Consider the following 18,294-nt stretch of genomic DNA (forward strand, 5'->3'; position numbering starts at 1 on the left):
TCTTAATCCAGTCTATTGTTTTTGGACATTTGGGTTGGTTCCAAGTCTTTGCTATTGTGAATAGTGCCGCAATAAACATACGTGTGCATGTGTCTTTATAACAGCATGATTTATAATCCTTTGGGTATATACCCAGTAATGGGATGGCTGGGTCAAATGGTATTTCTAGTTCCAGATTCCTGAGGAATCGCCACACTGACTTCCACAATGGTTGAACTAGTTGACAGTCCCACCAACAGTGTAAAAGTGTTCCTATTTCTCCACATCCTCTCCAGCACCTGTTGTTTCCTGACTTTTTAATGATCGCCATTCTAACTGGTGTGAGATGGTATCTCATTGTGGTTTTGATTTGCATTTCTCTGATGGCCAGTGATGAGCATTTTTTCATGTGTTTTTTGGCTGCATAAATGTCTTCTTTTGAGAAGTGTGTTCATATCCTTCGCCCACTTTTTAATGGGGTTGTTTGTTTTTTTCTTGTAAATTTGTTTGAGTTCATTGTAGATTCTGGATATTAGCCCTTTGTCAGATGAGTAGGTTGCAAAAATTTTCTCCCATTCTGTAGGTTGCCTGTTCACTCTGATGGTAGTTTCTTTTGCTGTGCAGAAGCTCTTTAGTTTAATTAGATCCCATTTGTCAATTTTGGCTTTTGTTGCCATTGCTTTTGGTGTTTTAGACATGAAGTCCTTGCCCATGCCTATGTCCTGAATGGTATTGCCTAGGTTTTCTTCTAGGGTTTTTATGGTTTTAGGTCTGACATTTAAGTCTTTAATCCATCTTGAATTAGTTTTTGTATAACGTGTAAGGAAGGGGTCCAGTTTCAGCTTTCTACATGTGGCTAGCCAGTTTTCCCAGCACCATTTATTAAATAGGGAATCCTTTCCCCATTTCTTGTTTTTGTCAGGTTTGTCAAAGATCAGATAGTTGTAGATATGCAGCATTATTTCTGAGGGCTCTGTTCTGTTCCATTGGTCTATATCTCTGTTTTGGTACCAGTACCATGCTGTTTTGGTTACTGTAGCCTTGTAGTATAGTTTGAAGTCAGGTAGTGTGATGCCTCCAGTTTTGTTCTTTTGGCTTAGGATTGACTTGGCGATGTGGGCTCTTTTTTGGTTCCATATGAACTTTAAAGTAGTATTTTCCAATTCTGTGAAGAAAGTCATTGGTAGCTTGATGGGGATGGCATTGAATCTATAAATTACCTTGGGTAGTATGGCCATTTTCACGATATTGATTCTTCCTACCCATGAGTATGGAATGTTCTTCCATTTGTTTGTATCCTCTTTTATTTCCTTGAGCAGTGGCTTGTAGTTCTCCTTGAAGAGGTCCTTCACATCCCTTGTAAGCTGGATTCCTAAGTATTTTATTCTCTTTGAAGCAATTGTGAATGGGAGTTCACTCATGATTTGGCTCTCTGTCTGTTATTGGTGTATAAGAATGCTTGTGATTTTGTACACTGATTTTGTATCCTGAGACTTTACTGAAGTTGCTTATCAGCTTTAGGAGATGTTGGGCCGAGAAGATGGGGTTTTCTAGATATACAATCATGTCATCGGCAAACAGGGACAATTTGACTTCCTCTTTTCCTAATTGAATGTCCTTTTTTTCCTTCTCCTGCTTGATTGCCCTGGCCAGAACTTCCAACACTATGTTGAATAGGAGTGGTGAGAAAGGGCATCCGTGTCTTGTGCCCGTTTTCAAAGGGAATGCTTCCAGTTTTTGTCCATTCAGTATGATATTGGCTGTGGGTTTGTCATAGATAGCTCTTATTATTTTGAGATACGTCCCATCAATACCTAATTTATTGAGAGTTTTTAGCATGAAGGGTTGTTGAATTTTGTCAAAGGCCTTTTCTGCATCTATTGAGATAATCATGTGGTTTTTGTCTTTGGTTCTGTTTATATGTTGGATTACGTGTTGATTTTCATATGTTGAACCAGCCTTGCATCCCAGGGATGAAGCCCACTTGATCATGGTGGATAAGCTTTTTGATGTGTTGCTGGATTTGGTTTGCCAGTATTTTATTAAGGATTTTTGCATCAATGTTCATCAAGGATATTGGTCTAAAATTCTCTTTTTTGATTGTGTCTCTGCCAGGCTTTGGTATCAGGATGATGCTGGCCTCATAAAATGAGTTAGGGAGGATTCCCTCTTTTTCTATTGATTGGAATAGTTTCAGAAGGAATGGTACCAGCTCCTCTTTGTACCTCTGGTAGAATTCTGCTGTGAATCCATCTGGTCCTGGACTTTTTTTGGTTGGTAAGCTATTGATTATTGCCTCAATTTCAGAGCCTGTTGTTGGTCTATTCAGAGATTCAACTTCTTCCTGGTTTAGTCTTGGGAGGATGTATGTGTTGAGGAATTTATCCATTTCTTCTAGATTTTCTGGTTTATTTGCATAGAGGTGTTTATAGTATTCTCTGATGGTAGTTTGTATTTCTGTGGGATCGGTGGTGATATCCCCTTTATCATTTTTTATTGCATCTATTTGATTCTTCTCTCTTTTCTTCTTTATTAGTCTTACTACCAGTCTATCAATTTTGTTGATCTTTCCACTACTCCTTTCTATTGATTCCAGGTCTTCAGGTATAATTTAACTCTTTCAACCAATTGTCAATCAGAAAATCTTTGAATCCATCCATGACCTGTAAGCCCTTGTTTCAAGTTGTCTCATCTTTCTGGATCAAACCAATGTATACCTCACATGTATTGATTGATGTCTGCCTGTAACTTCTGTTCCCCTAAAATGTATGAAATCCATCTCTAATCCAACCACTTTGGGCATTGTTTTCTGGACCTCCTGGAGCTGTGTCATGGGTCATGGTCCTCACATTTGGCTCAGAATAAGCCTCTTCAAATATTTTACAAAGTTTGACCTTTTTTTTTTTTTTGGTCAAATATTGCTAGTTCCATCCTGGAAGATTGTGTAAGGCCTCCTAGGCTCAAGCTTTTCTTCTTTTCTTACCTTGTCCCTTCCTGTTGTTTCCTCTGCAGCTGAACAGGTGGCAGCTGGCCTACCATGGGCTACTGCTCTGAGGACCAGCCCCTCACTGGGCCTCCCAACTCCTGGGATTCATCTGCCTCCTCTTCAGTGAGTGGTAGGGTCCCTGGGAAGGGAGGGCAATTGGGTGGGGCTGGGCTAGCTGGGTCCTGATCACTGGGTGGGCTGTTCAGATTCTGCTGTCTTTGGGGAATAAAAAGAAAAGAGCGCTCTGTTATGATTTACAAATGCAGCATATTTGGTTGGAAATGGCCCTTTAGTGGCGAGGAGGCTGGCAACCCTGAGCCAGGGCAGTCTTGGCTGCATGAAGGGCACATTTACTAGGGAGGTGAGGCCACATCGGCTTCATTAGCAGGGACGGTAAGAGAGCCTGGAGTGTCCCTACATCTGCCACAGGGAGCTGGAGAAGAAAGTCCCTGCCATTATGGGCTCCAGACAGAGACGTGGGGACAGTGGAGACAGCACCAGGGAGAAGAGTTTTGGTGTCATACATGAGTTGAGAGGAAACTACTGTTGGTTTTCCATTGTAATGATAGAAAGGAAGTGTCAGAAAAGTGGACAAAACTTTGTTATGTGTGAGAGTTACATTTTATATTATTTAAATGAATTTTTAACTCCACCTCAATTATAACCAGATCCTGTCTGGCTTGTTTTTTCTTCTTCAGGATTAGCTTCTCTGTAGGTCAGAGAGCTCTTGCTCCCTTCCTTCTCTCTCTCTCTCTTTCTCTCTCTCTCTCTCTCTCTGAGTCTTTCTTCATCTTCCTGCTGGCTGTGCTCACCATCCAGTTTCTAGGGCAGATCCTCCCTGGCAGCCTGAGGGCTGAGCCTTGTTTCTTCTTCCAGGAAGTGGGGTCTGTCAGGGCTGACTATTCAACCCTCAGCTAACCAGAAGTCCCTGCTCTGCTCAGCCACTCAAGGTGCCTGCTTCTCCTTCCCAGGAGAGGGCCAAGCCTACCCGCCACCCTGTATCTGATCCTGTACCTTCTGCCTTCACCTTGTGACTGTGAACAGTTCTTGTTCCTGTTAGGTCCGGTGCTCCTCTTGGACCAGATTTTCTCTCCACTTGGCTACTTCAGTGACATCTCCCTACAAGTTCTTCTTTCCAGTATTCTTATTTTTTTCCCAATCTTTATTGAAATATTTTCATTAGCATAAAAACGTAAAATAATCCTACAAATTCACACTCCCTCCAGTACTGTCCCATTTTTCTTCACCATTTTGTAGCAATTTTTCTTGAAATAATTATCTATATTTCCTAGTTCCAACCCACTCCTTTCCTGCCTTTGTCTCTTTTATAAATAGCGATAGATCTAATTCACATACCATAAATTCATGAATGTAAAGGGTACGATGCAGTTCTTTTCAGTATATTTGCAAGGTTGTACAATCATGAGCACTATTTAATTTCAGACACTTTCATCACCCCCAAAAGAACCCCATACCCATTAGTGGTCACTTTCCCTTTCCCTCTCCTATGCCACCTGGCAACCATTAATCTACTTTTTGTGTCTGTGGATTTGCCTTTGATGGACACTTCATATAAACAGAATCATACAATGTGTGACCTTTTGTGTCTGGCTTCTCTCACTTATCCTAATATTCTTAAGATTTATTCATGTTGTAGCATGTATCAGTACTTCATTCCTTTTTGTGGATGAATAATATTCTATTGTGTGGATATACCACAACTTGTTTTTAAAATTTTTTTATTATTGTTTTGAATAAAGACGAGGTCTCATTAAATTGCCCAGGTTGGTCTCAAACTCCTGGGCTCAAGTGAACTCACCTTGGCCTCCCAAAATGCTGTGATTTCAGGCATGAGCCAACACAACCAGCCTACAACTGTTTATTCATTGATCAGTTGGCAGAATCTGGATTGTATCTGATTTTAGGCTCTGATATGAACATTCATGTACATGTACATTTTGTGTAGATGTGTGTTTTATTTGTTTTCACTTCTCTTAGATATATACCAAGGAATAGAATTGCTGGGTCATATAGTCATCATCACTCTCTTGCAGTATTGCAGTAGCCTCACAGTCTTCTTGCTTCTATTTTTAGCCTCTTAAGTTTATTCTCAAAATAGCATCTAGAGTAATTCTTAGAAAACTGTAGGTTATATCATATTACTTACTCCTTAGCCCACGGCTATAACCTACATGTAGGTTATATTGTATTACCCTCTCCTTAGCTCATGGCTATAACCTACATGATTCCTTCCATGGCTTCCATTTTACCTGCAAGGCCCTGCACCATCTAACCAGATCTCCCACCTTCTCTGCCTTTATTCCACCCTGCTATTCTTTCAGCAGACAAGGCATGTTTCTGCCTGAGGGCCTTTGCTTCTATCTGGAATTCCCTTTCTCCAGGTATTTGCTTGTCTCATTTCCTGACTTTCTGCAGGTTTTTGTACAAATGTTATCTTAGCGGAGTCTACCCTGACCATCCTATTTAAAACTGCAACCTCCTCCTGGTGCCCTTCTCCCTCCTCCTTGAATGTTCATTCACAGCACTTATTACAGAAATGTGAATCAGGGTGTACTTAGTCTGGATTGTTCACCTAAGACCTGAAACTATAAAAATTCTAGAAGATAACATTGAAAAAACCCTTCTAGACATTGGCTTAGGCAAGGATTTTATGATCAAGAACCCAAAAGCAAATGCAATAAAAACGAAGATAAATAGCTGGGACCTAATTAAACTAAAGAGCTTTTGCATGGCAAAAGGAACAGTCAGCAGAATAAATAGACAACCCAGACAGTGGAAGAAAAATCTTCACAATCTATACATCTGACAAAGGACTACTATCCAGAATCTACAACGAACTCAAAAAAATCAGTAAGAAAAAAACCAAACAAAAACCATCAAAAAGTGGTCTAAGGAAATGAATGAGCAATTCTCAAAAGAAGACATATAAATGGCCAACAAACATATGAAAAAATGCTTAACATCACTAATGATCAGGGAAATGCAAATCAAAACCACAGTGCAATACCACCTTACTCCTGCAAGAATGGCAATAATCGAAAAAAAAAAAAAAACAGTAGATGTTGACATGGATATGGTGAACAGGGAATACTTCTACACTGCTGATGGTAATGTAAACTAGTAGAGCCACTATGGAAAACAGTGTGGAGATGCCTTAAAGATCTAAAAGTAGAATTACCATTTGATCCGGCAATCCCACTACTGGGTATCTACCCAGAGGAAAAGAAGTCATTATTTGAAAAAGATACTTGCACACTCATGTTTATAGCAGCACAATTCACAATTGCAAAATCATGGAACCAACCCAAATGCCCATCAACTAATGAGTGGACAAAGAAACTGTGGTATATATATATGATGGAATAGTACACAGCCATAAAAAGGAATGAATTAACAGCATTTGCAGTGACCTGGATGAGATTGGAGACTATTATTCTAAGTGAAGTAACTCAGGAATGGAAAACCAAACATCGTATGTTCTCACTGATATGTGGGAGCTAAGCTATGAGGACAGAAAGGCATAATAATGATACAATGGACTTTGGGGACTTGGAGGGAAGATTGGAAGGAGGGTGAGGGATAAAAGACTACAAATATGGTTCAGTGTAGACTGCTTGGGTGATGGGTGCACCAAAATCTCACAAATCACCGCTAAAGAACTTACTCATGTAACCAAATACCACTTGTATCCCAATAACTTATGGAAAACAAACAAACAAACATATAAACAAAAAACCCCAAAAACAAATGGGCCAATGAGGACTCAAAGAGTAAGCTATACATCCTAGTATGTAGATACCATTGTTATTCTCAGGAAACTGGAATAGTGATGAGTCAATGAACTCATCCAAGACTCAATTCAGTGATAGAGCTGGGATTCAGACTAAAATCCTGGCTCCTCACCACTACATTATACTGGTTAAATCAATTATAGTCTTTCCACATGATAGTGTACTGTTTAGGTAATAAAAAGGATAAATTACATTCTAATATGTAATTCACATTTTAATATGTAATTATGTAAATGGGAATGTGTCTGTGAAATATTGTGTGCTATGGAGCATCATGTATAGTATTATCCTGGTATTATAAATATATAGTCACATCTGTTTTCTTGGGCATAAAGCAAGTCTAAAAGTTGTGAAACAGTCCACAGTGGCTATTTTCTGGGATCTGTCTCTTTCTCTGTATCATTAGATTGTCTGTAACACTTAGAAAAAAGATCATCTATTAAAATTTTTGGGAAAGGCAGTGACAGGATCATAGTTGTGCTTCAGAAAGATTAAGTCACATGCACGACAACAGGAAGATGATCATCTTGGAAACCAGTGAAAGTGTTTATTCTAACTTTCACTTCCTATTGTGTTGAAATGACCCATTCACAGTCTTTACTGAAATCACTCCAAAACATCTCTGGACCTGTCTAAACAATACCAGCAAAGTGGAAAATGTGGTCTAGCTGATCCAAATGGGAAATCCCCATGAATGGCTCATAAGCCTGGCTGTACATCAGACCACCTGTGGAGCTCTTAAAAACGAATGCCTGGGCCCTGTCCCCAAACTAGGTATCATCTGTAATTTTTTTAAATGTCAAAAGGTAATTCTGACACATAATCAAGATTGAGAAGTGAAAACACTGGCCTATTGGAGTATTTGTGAAATTCAAATGGTCACATTCTTGGCAAGGAGAAGTTTGTCTTCCAAGGTGGTCCTTAGTGTGTCCTCTGTGTATAGAACAGTAAATGTTCTATGAATGAAGGACAGAATGAATGATGAGAGCCCACAGATTGGCATTTCTGTGATGTATTCACCATAACTGAAAGTCTGAGCCTCAGACTGTGAGCCTGATCCCCAGAAGCTGTATCTCATCTATTCTCTAGAATTGACGTAACTTGTAGAAACAAAATCTTGCTAACAAATGTCATAAGACACTGGTTGACAAAACCACATTGCTTATTTATTAATTTACAGTAAGAAGTATACTTGTCAACTGGGTAGAAAGAAATTCTCATTAGCCTGACCAGAATGTCCTGTTCCCAAAGGCAGGCCATATGGGAAACCAAGACATCGACGGGCTACTTGGGGAGTTGTGAGTCAGGGCAGGTGAGCAGATGCAGCTGGTGTTGACTCCATTAGCTTTCTAGAGTCTGAGCTCTCCATTCCGTAGTAGGATTTACCTGCCTGGGGCCTGGAATTCTCCTTCAGCTATCTCTACCATTCACCTTTCTTTATGCTCCATTTCTTACTGATCTCCTACCCTGACCCTGAGATCAATATATTGTTTATTTGGTCATGTTTATCTGTGAGACTGAGTTGTGCCCTGTTGTGTGAGCTGGAATCTCCATACCTATTCTGTGATCAAGTAGGTGGCTTTATATTTACTTTCCAGAAACAAAAAAACCTACACACTTTATCTCCCCTATTTCCAAGTTCTAGCAGAGGTTGTAGAGGGAGGGGACATCCATCAACACGCTGCATCCCACCAACTGAACCGCCAAACTGCACTCGTAAACTGACTCAGTGAGAAAAACTGGACTGGTGAATGGGATTCTGTAGCTCACAATGTTGGAATCTTCACCTAATTTATCACTTAGCCTTTCAGCAAGATCCTTTCATATTTAAGACAGCAAAACGAAAACAACAAAACTCTAGAAAAATGTAATATATAATGTCTGTTCAAGTTAAGAATAATCATGAAATGACAAATTTCTAGGAAAATATATATCACTAAAATTGATTTACCTCACAAAAACAACATAGAAAGTGTAAAACTTATGTAAGTATCCTATTACTGGTGCATTGCTTCAAACCTTTAAAGAATTGGTAGTTTCTGTTCTAACAAATATGTTTTAAAGCTTGTCAGAAGAAGATAGGTTTCTTTGTGTCTTGGAAAACCTGAGATATCCCCAAAAAAATGAAATAAAGTCCCATCAAATTTTCTGGGTCATTGTGCCCAGATTTATGGTCAAACATTATTCTAGATGTTTCTGTGTGGATGTCTGGGGATGAGGTTAGCATTTAAATCAGTGGACTTTGAATAGAACAGATTGCCCTCCGTAATACTGGGAGGTTTCATTCAGTCAAATGAAGCCCTTGATAGAACAAAAGGCTGACAACCCTGAGCAAGAAAACTTCTCTAGGAGTTTGCCTTCTGACTTCATCTGCAACATCACCTCTTCCTGGCTTTCTAGCACACTCTGCCTTTAGACTCAAACTTCCAGTATTTCTTGACTCTCCAGCCTCGTGGCCTCCCACAACATATTTTGAACTCACCAAGCATCCATAATCACATGAGCTAATACATAGAATATGTGTGTGTGTGTGTGTGTGTGTGTGTGTGTGTGTGTGGGTACTATTTGTTCTGTTTCATTGGAAGAAAATTCACTAGGAGTCCAACTTCCTCCTGCACTTCTAGGACCCCTACCAAGTGGTTGTGCCTCTGTGTACACTACACCAGTGACAGGAACCTCACTGTTTCCCAAAGCTTTTATTTATTTATTTTTTATTTTTTGGATGACTCAGACTACAGAAAACTGTCTTTAATATGAGTCAAAACCTTCCTCCCTCTATCTTCTTCTGATACTAGTTTCCAACTGGAGGTTACTCCTTACAAATAAGACTCCTGATTCACTGAATGGCTCTTCAAGTGCTGTTCAGAGCAGAGCAGACATAAGTGCCTGGTATCACCGTTCTTTTCTTGTTTGAAAACCCTGATTTCTCTCCTTCCACATAGTTTCCTGACACGTGTGCCAACTGTGGTTTCTCTGAATCTCCCAACCTTGTATGGTCCTAGGGGCTGTGATATGGTTTGGCTGTGTCCCCTCCCAAATCTCATCTTGAATTGTAGTTCTCATAAACCCCATGTGTCATGGGAGGGACCTGGTTCGAGGTAATTTAATCATAGGGGCAGTTACCCCCATGCTGTTCTCATGATAGTGAGTTCTCATGGAATCTGATGGTTTATAAGGGGATGTCCCCCCTTTGCTTGGCACTTCTCCTTCAAGCCACCCTGTGAAGAAGGTGTCTTTCTTTCCCTTAGTCTTCTACCATGATTGTAAGTTTCCTGAGGCTTTCCAGACATGTGGAACTGTGAGTCAATTAAACCTTTTTTCTTTAAAAATTACCCAGACTAGGGTATTTCTTCATAGCAATGTGAGAATGAACTAATACATGCTGAGAAGGTTGAATGTTTCCTGGAGATGGTGAGCACCAAAACACTGCATTCCCAATCTCCTGGGAAAGAAGTGTCTCCAGAGTTGGGCACACTCACCTTGCTGGCAATTTGTTAAGCTCAACAGACTCTTCCAACATCTAAGGTGACAGTTTTCTGGTGTCTGAAGTTTCTGACCACATACAGAAGACCGGCATTGCACTGGCTCAGGCTCAGGCAGGCTCACAGCCAAGGTCCAGGGATTGGGGGCTGATCCTGGTGCCCCACTCTGCTCCAGCTTCTTGGGGAGGCCTTTGCTAACCCAGGTCACATTCATATCCTCTGTGGTCCCTAGAGAATTGTCCTCCACTGTGATGTTGTACCAGCCTGCTGTGATGGATGATGACTCAGCCAGGACCTGGGAAAGAAGGGAACAAAAGAATTATTATTGCATTTGAGGAGCACATTCTTCATGTATTATCTCAATAGTTTTAGAGCTCCCTGCTAGGCAGACAGGGCATTTTGCAGCCAAAGAAACTGAGACCTGGAGAAGTGAAATAGTTTGCTCGAAGTCATATACTGAAAAAATTCCAGATTTAGGGAAGGAAACATAGCTGAGCCTCTCAGCTCTTTCCATCATCTGTACACCTTGCCCACACCACACAGTTGAATTCATATCTGTTTGTTCTCCACACTTATATTCAGACCCTTTATAAACCCTGAAGCACTTAGAGGGTACAATGAAGCCTTTTGCGAAATAGCTTCCACATGCAAAATCTGAAAAGCAGGTTCTGGAAACTATTGTAAGACTCTTAAGCTCTCATTCATATTGACAGCAGAAAAGGTTAAGATGTGAAGATAAGAGGAAGAGAATTAATTTGCAGAAAGCTATGCCATGAATCCCATTCCACCCATGGTTGCCTCCCCTCACCTCAAGCCTGGTGAGAGGGGCGTCAATGAGACCATTCAGAGAGTTTGATGCATGTGCATTTGACTCCTCAATGGGGATGCAGTTTCCCCACTGGCAGTCCTGACTCTGTGGCCATTGGCTGTTTCAGCAACATCTCCCTCTTTGTTTCTCAGGTGTGAGTCAGGCACCTGTGCAGTGCATCTCCAAGCTGTATCAAAGAACCAGGGACAAAAGAGAAAGAACAAATGGCCACTCTGAGAGTGCATTACATGTGAGAAGGTAGGTGACAGATCCTCAACATAGGGAAGGAGGAATAGCCAAGAAACTTATAAAAATGCTACATGACAGAAAGGGTAAACCTAAACATTGTCAATCCTAGAGCATGAACTACTTGTTGACCAAAATAGGAATAGTCAAGGAAAGGCTTTCCTGTTGCCTCTTCCAAGAGTTGCAACAACTTCACATGAAGTCTGTTTAAACATTCTGATTTTCATCCAGGTTATGGAGTTTCAGACATTTTCTTCTCCACCCACTAGGCATTTTACACAGTCATGTGTCTATAATCTTGAGTCCTCACTCTGTGTTGAGCACATATACCCGGGCCTTATTGTGAGAAAACTGAGAAAACATCAATCACCCTCAGCATTTGGAGGACTGGTTTCTTATTGTCATCTTTGCCCTCTGGCTTTTAAAATTTCAGCACAGTACAGATAGCCAAGATGGCCGAATAGGAACAGCTCCAGTCTACAGCTCCAAGCATGAGTGGCGCAGAAGATGGGTGATTTCTGCATTTCCAACTGAGGTACTGGGTTCATCTCACTGGGGAGTGCTGGACAGTGGGTGCAGGACAGTGGGGGCAGCACACTGTGCATGAGCTGAAGTAGGGTGAAGCATCACCTCACCCGGGAAGCACAAGGGGTCAGGGAATTCCCTTTCCTAGTCAAAGAAAGGGGTGACAGATGGCACCTGGAAAATCGGGTCACTCCCATCCTAATACTGTGCTTTTCCAATGGGCTTATCAAATGGCACACCAGGAGATTATATCCTGCACCTGGCTCAGAGGGTCCTATGCCCACGGAGCCTTGCTCTTTGCTAGCACAGCAGTCTGAGATCAAACTGCAAGGTGGTTTGTGCTAGCTCATTGCTAGCACAGCAGTCTGAGATCAAACTGCAGCGAGGCTGGGGGAGGGGCACCCGCCATTGCTCAGGCTTGAGTAGGTAGACAAAGCAGCTGGGAAGCTCAAACTGGGTGGAGCCCACCACAGCTCAAGGAGGCCTGCCTGCCTCTGTAGGCTCCACCTCTGGGGGCAGGGCACAGACAAAAAAAAGCAATAACCTCTGCAGACTTAAATGTCCTTGTCTGACAGCTTTGAAGAGAGCAGTGGTTCTCCCAGCATGTAGCTGGAGATCTGAGAATGGGCAGACTGCCTCCTCAAGTGGGTCCCTGACCCCCGAGTAGCCTAACTGGGAGGCACCCCCCAGTAGGGGCGGACTGACACCTCACACAGCCGGGTACTCCTCTGAGACAAAACTTCCAGAGGAACGATCAGACAGCAGCATTTGTGGTTCACCAATATGCGCTGTTCTGCAGCCACCACTGCTGATACCCAGGCAAACAGGGTCTAGAGTGGACCTACAGTAAACTCCAACAGACCTGCAGCTGAGGGTCCTGACTGTTAGAAGGAAAACTAACAAACAGAAACGACATCCACACCAAAAACCTATCTGTATGTCACCATCATCAAAGACAAAAGGTAGATAAAACCACAAAGATGGGGAAAAAACAGAGCAGAAAAACTGGAAACTCTAAAAATCAGAGTGCCTCTCCTCCTCCAAAGGAATGCAGCTCCTCACCAGCAATGGAACAAAGCTGGATGGAGAATGACTTTGACAAGTTGACAGAGGAAGGCTTCAGAAGATCAAACAACTCCAAGCTAAAGAAGGAAGTTCGAACCAATGGCAAAGAAGTTAAAAACTTTGAAAAAAAATTAGATGAATGGATAACTAGAATAACCAATGCAGAGAAGTCCTTAAAGGACCTGATGGAGCTGAAAACCACGGCACGAGAACTACATGACGAATGCACAAGCCTCAGTAACCAATGCAATCAACTGGAAGAAAGGTTATCAGTGATGGAAGATGAAATGAATGAAATGAAACATGAAGAGAAGTTTAGAGAAAAAAGAATAAAAAGAAATGAACAAAGCCTCCAAGAAATATGGGACTATGTGAAAAGACAAAATCTATGTCTAATTGGTGTACCTGAAAGTGACAGGGAGAATGGAAACAAGTTGGAAAACACTGCAGGATATTATCCAGGAGAATTTCCCCAATCTAGCAAGGCAGGCCAACATTCAAATTCGGGAAACACAGAGAACACCACAAAGATACTCCTCGAGAAGAGCAACTCCAAGACACATGATTGTCAGATTTACCAAAGTTGAAATGAAGGAAAAATGTTAAGGGCAGCCAGAGAGAAAGGTCGGGTTACCTACAAAGGGAAGCCCATCAGACTAACTGCTGATCTCTTGGCAGAAACTCTACAAGCCAGAAGAGAGTGGGGGCCAATATTCAACATTCTTAAAGAAAAGAATTTTCAACCCAGAATTTCGTATCCAGCCAAACTAAGCTTCATAAGTGAAGGAGAAATAAAATACTTCACAGACAAGCAAATGCTGAGAGATTTTGTCACCACCAGGCCTGCCCTAAAAGAGCTCCTGAAGGAAGCACTAAACATGGAACAACCAGTACCAGCCACTGCAAAAACAAGCCAAATTGTAAAGACCATCAAGGCTAGGAAGAAACTGCATCAACTAACGAGCAAAATAACCAGCTAACATCATAATGACAGGATCAAATTCACACGTAACAATACTAACCTTAAATGTAAATGGGCTAAATGCTCCAATTAAAAGGCACAGACTGGCAAATTGGATAAAGAGTCAAGACCCATCAGTGTGCTGTATTCAGGAAACCCATCTCATGTGCAGAGACACACATAGGCTCAAAATAAAGGGATGGAGGAAGATCTCCCAAGCAAATGGAAAACAAAAAAAGGCAGTCTCGGATAAAACAGACTCTAAATGAACAAAGATCAAAAGAGACAAAGAAGGCCATTACATAATGGTAAAGGGATCAATTCAACAAGAAGAAATAACTATCCTAAATATATATGCACCCAATACAGGAGCACCCAGATTCATAAAGCAAGTCCTTAGTGACCTACAAAGTGACTTAGACTCCCACACAATAATAATGGGAGACTTTAACACCCCACTGTCAACATTAGACAGATCAATGAGACAGAAAGTTAACAAGGATATCCAGGAACTGAACTCAGCTCTGCACCAAGCAGACCTAATAGACATCTACAGAACTCTCCACCCCAAATCAACAGAATATACATTCTTTTCAGCACCACACCACACCTATTCCAAAATTGACCACATACTTGGAAGTAAAGCACTCCTCAGCAAATGTAAAAGAACAGAAATTATAACAAACTGTCTCTCAGACCACAGTGCAATCAAACTAGAACTCAGGATTAAGAAACTCACTCAAAACGGCTCAACTACATGGAAACTGAACAACCTGCTCCTGAATGACTACTGGGTAAATAATGAAATGAAGGCAGAAATAAAGATGTTCTTTGAAACCAATGAGAACAAAGACACAACATACCAGAATCTCTGGGACGCATTCAAAGCAGTGTGTAGAGGGAAATTTATAGCACTAAATGCCCACAGGAGAAAGCAGGAAAGATCTAAAATCAGCACCCTAACATCACAATTAACAGAACTAGAAAAGCAAGAGCAAACACATTCAAAAGCTAGCAGAAGGCAAGAAATAACTAAGATCAGAGCAGAACTGAAGGAAATAGAGACACAAAAAACCCTTCAAAAAATCAATGAATTCAGGAGCTGGTTTTTTGAAAAGATCAACAAAATTGATAGACCACTAGCAAGACTAACAAAGAAGAAAAGAGAGAAGAATCAAATAGACACAATAAAAAATGACAAAGGGGATATCACCATTGATCCCACAGAAATACAAACTACCATCAGAGAATACTATAAACACCTCTACCCAAATAAACTAGAAAATCTAGAAGAAATGGATAAATTCCTCAACACATACCCTCTCCCAAGACTAAACCAGGAAGAAGTTGAATCTCTGAATAGACCAATAACAGGCTCTGAAATTGAGCAATAATTAATAGTTTACCAACCACAAAAAGTCCAGGACCAGGTGGATTCACAGCAGCATTCTACCAGAGGTACAAGGAGGAGCTGGTACCATTCCTTCTGAAACTATTCCAATCAATAGAAAAAGAAGGAATCCTCCCTAACTCATTTTGAGGTCAGCATCATCCTGATACCAAAGCCTGGCAGAGACACAACAAAAAAAGAGAATTTTAGACCAATATCCTTGATGAACATTGATGCAAAAATCCTCAATAAAATACTGGCAAACCAAATCCAGCAACACATCAAAAAGCTTATCCACCATGATCAAGTGGGCTTCATCCCTGGGATGCAAGGCTGGTTCAACATATGAAAATCAATAAACGTAATCCAACATATAAACAGAACCAAAGACAAAAACCACATGATTATCTCAATAGATGCAGAAAAGGCCTTTGACAAAATTCAACAACCCTTCATGCTAAAAACTCTCAATAAATTAGGTATTAATGGGACGTATCTCAAAATAATAAGAGCTATCTATAACAAACCCACAGCCAATATCATACTGAATGGACAAAAACTGGAAGCATTCCCTTTGAAAACGGGCACAAGACAGGAATGCCTTCTCTCACCACTCCTATTCAACATAGTGTTGGAAGTTCTGGCCAGGGCAATCAAGCAGGAGAAGGAAAAAAAGGACATTCAATTAGGAAAAGAGGAAGTCAAATTGTCCCTGTTTGCAGATGACATGATTGTATATCGAGAAAACTCCATCTTCTCAGCCCAAAAATCTCTTTAAGCTGATAAGCAACTTCAGCAAAGTCTCAGGATACAAAATCAGTGTACAAAAATCACAGCATTCTTATACATCAATAACAGACAAACAGAGAGCCAAATCATGAGTGAACTCCCATTCACAATTGCTTCAAAGAGAATAAAATACCTAGGAATCCAACTTACAAGGGATGTGAAGGACCTCTTCAAGGAGAACTACAAACCACTGCTCAAGGAAATAAAAGAGGACACAAACAAATGGAAGAGCATTCCATGCTCATGGGTAGGAAGAATCAATATTGTGAAAATGGCCATACTACCCAAGGTAATTTATAGATTCAATGCCATCCCCATCAAGCTACCAATGACTTTCTTTACAGAATTGGAAAAAACTACTTCAAAGTTCATATGGAACCAAAAAAGAGCCTGTATTGCCAAGTCAATCCTAAGCCAAAGGAACAAAGCTGGAGGCATCACACTACCTGACTTCAAACTATACTACAAGGCTACAGTAACCAAAACAGCATGGTACTGGTACCAAAACAGAGATATAGACCAATGGAACAGAACAGAGCCCTCAGAAATAATGCCGCATATCTACAACTATCTGATCTTTGACAAACCTGACAAAAACAAGAAATGGGGAAAGGATTCCCTATTTAATAAATGGTGCTGGGAAAACTGGCTAGCCATATGTTGAAAGCTGAAACTGGATCCCTTCCTTAAACCTTACACAAAAATTAATTCAAGATGGATTAAAGACTTACATGTTAGACCTAAAACCATAAAAACTCTAGAAGAAAACCTAGGCAATACCATTCAGGACATAGGCATGGGCAAGGACTTCATGTCTAAAACACCAAAAGCAATGGCAACAAAAGCCAAAATTGACAAATGGGATCTAATTAAACTAAAGAGCTTCTGCACAGCAAAAGAAACTACCATCAGAGTGAACAGGCAACCTACAGAATGGGAGAAAATTTTTGCAACCTACTCATCTGACAAAGGGCTAATATCCAGAATCTACAATGAACTCAAACAAATTTACAAGAAAAAAACAAACAACCCCATTAAAAAGTGGGCGAAGGATATGAACAGACCCTTTTCAAAAGAAGACATTTATGCAGCCAAAAAACACATGAAAAAATGCTCATCATCACTGGCCATCAGAGAAATGCAAATCAAAACCACAATGAGATACCATCTCACACCAGTTAGAATGGCGATCATCAAAAAGTCAGGAAACAACAGGTGCTGGAGAGGATGTGGAGAAATAGGAACACTTTTACACTGTTGATGGGACTGTAAACTAGTTCAACCATTGTGGATCTTGGTGTGGCGATTCCTCAGGGATCTTGAACTAGAACTACCATTTGACCTAGCCATCCCATTACTGGGTATATACCGAAAGGATTATAAATCATGCTGCTATAAAGACACATGCACACATATGTTTATTGTGGCGCTATTCACAATAGCAAAGACTTGGAACCAACCCAAATGTCCAACAATGATAGACTGGATTAAGAAAATGTGGCACATATACACCATGGAATACTATACAGCCATAAAAAATGATGAGTTCATGTCCTTTGTAGGGACATGGATGAAGCTGGAAACCATCATTCTCAGCAAACTATTGCAAGGACAAAAAACCAAACACCGCATGTTCTCACTCATAGGTGGGAATTGAACAATGAGAACACATGGACACAGGAAGGGGAACATCACACACCAGGGACTGTTGTGGGGTGTGGGGAGGAGGGAGGGATAGCATTAGGAGATATACCTAATGCTAAATGACGAGTTAATGGGTGCAGCACACCAACATGACACATGTATACATATGTAACAAACCCGCACGTTGTACACATGTACCCTAAAACTTAAAGTATAAAAAAAAATTTCAGCACAGTTGGGTGAATAAACAGATTAGTTTAGGGCCCTTCAATATTGGAGAGCTAGCAGTGACTCACATTGCTCCACCCAATGTCCAAACGTGCTGCATTAAGACCCTTATTTTAGCTCTATTAAAGTTCTCTTTCTTTTTCCCACTTCTTAATAAACACTTAAAATTTTTAGCCTCCTAGATAGAGTCCCTCCATGTCGCTCAACTCTCTCATTTCTTTTCCCCATTCTCACTGAAATCACTCTAAGTCTCTTCATTGTCTGTTGTTCAGGCATAACTCTTCTACTTGGTAGTGGTCCCGAGGCTAGCAGCTGTAGCTCAGACTTTTAAGCCTGGCTCAGCACTAGGATCTACTCCAGGTGCTTTACTTTACTTTTA

At 40.8% G+C, this 18,294-nt stretch overlaps 1 long non-coding RNA gene across 1 annotated transcript in view; it reads right to left on the minus strand.

The window, feature by feature from the left end:
- The window catches only part of LOC105371456 (uncharacterized), a 54,091-nt gene that overhangs the window by 16,827 nt on the left and 18,970 nt on the right, over positions 1-18,294 (minus strand). The window contains exon 2 of the long non-coding RNA XR_922183.3: positions 10,257-10,554. This is a non-coding gene — a long non-coding RNA (uncharacterized LOC105371456). The remainder of the gene's footprint in view (positions 1-10,256; positions 10,555-18,294) is intronic.

This window comes from Homo sapiens, chromosome 1, assembly GCF_000001405.40.
Source record: "Homo sapiens chromosome 1, GRCh38.p14 Primary Assembly".
In the NCBI taxonomy this organism is placed as follows: Eukaryota; Metazoa; Chordata; class Mammalia; order Primates; family Hominidae; genus Homo; species Homo sapiens.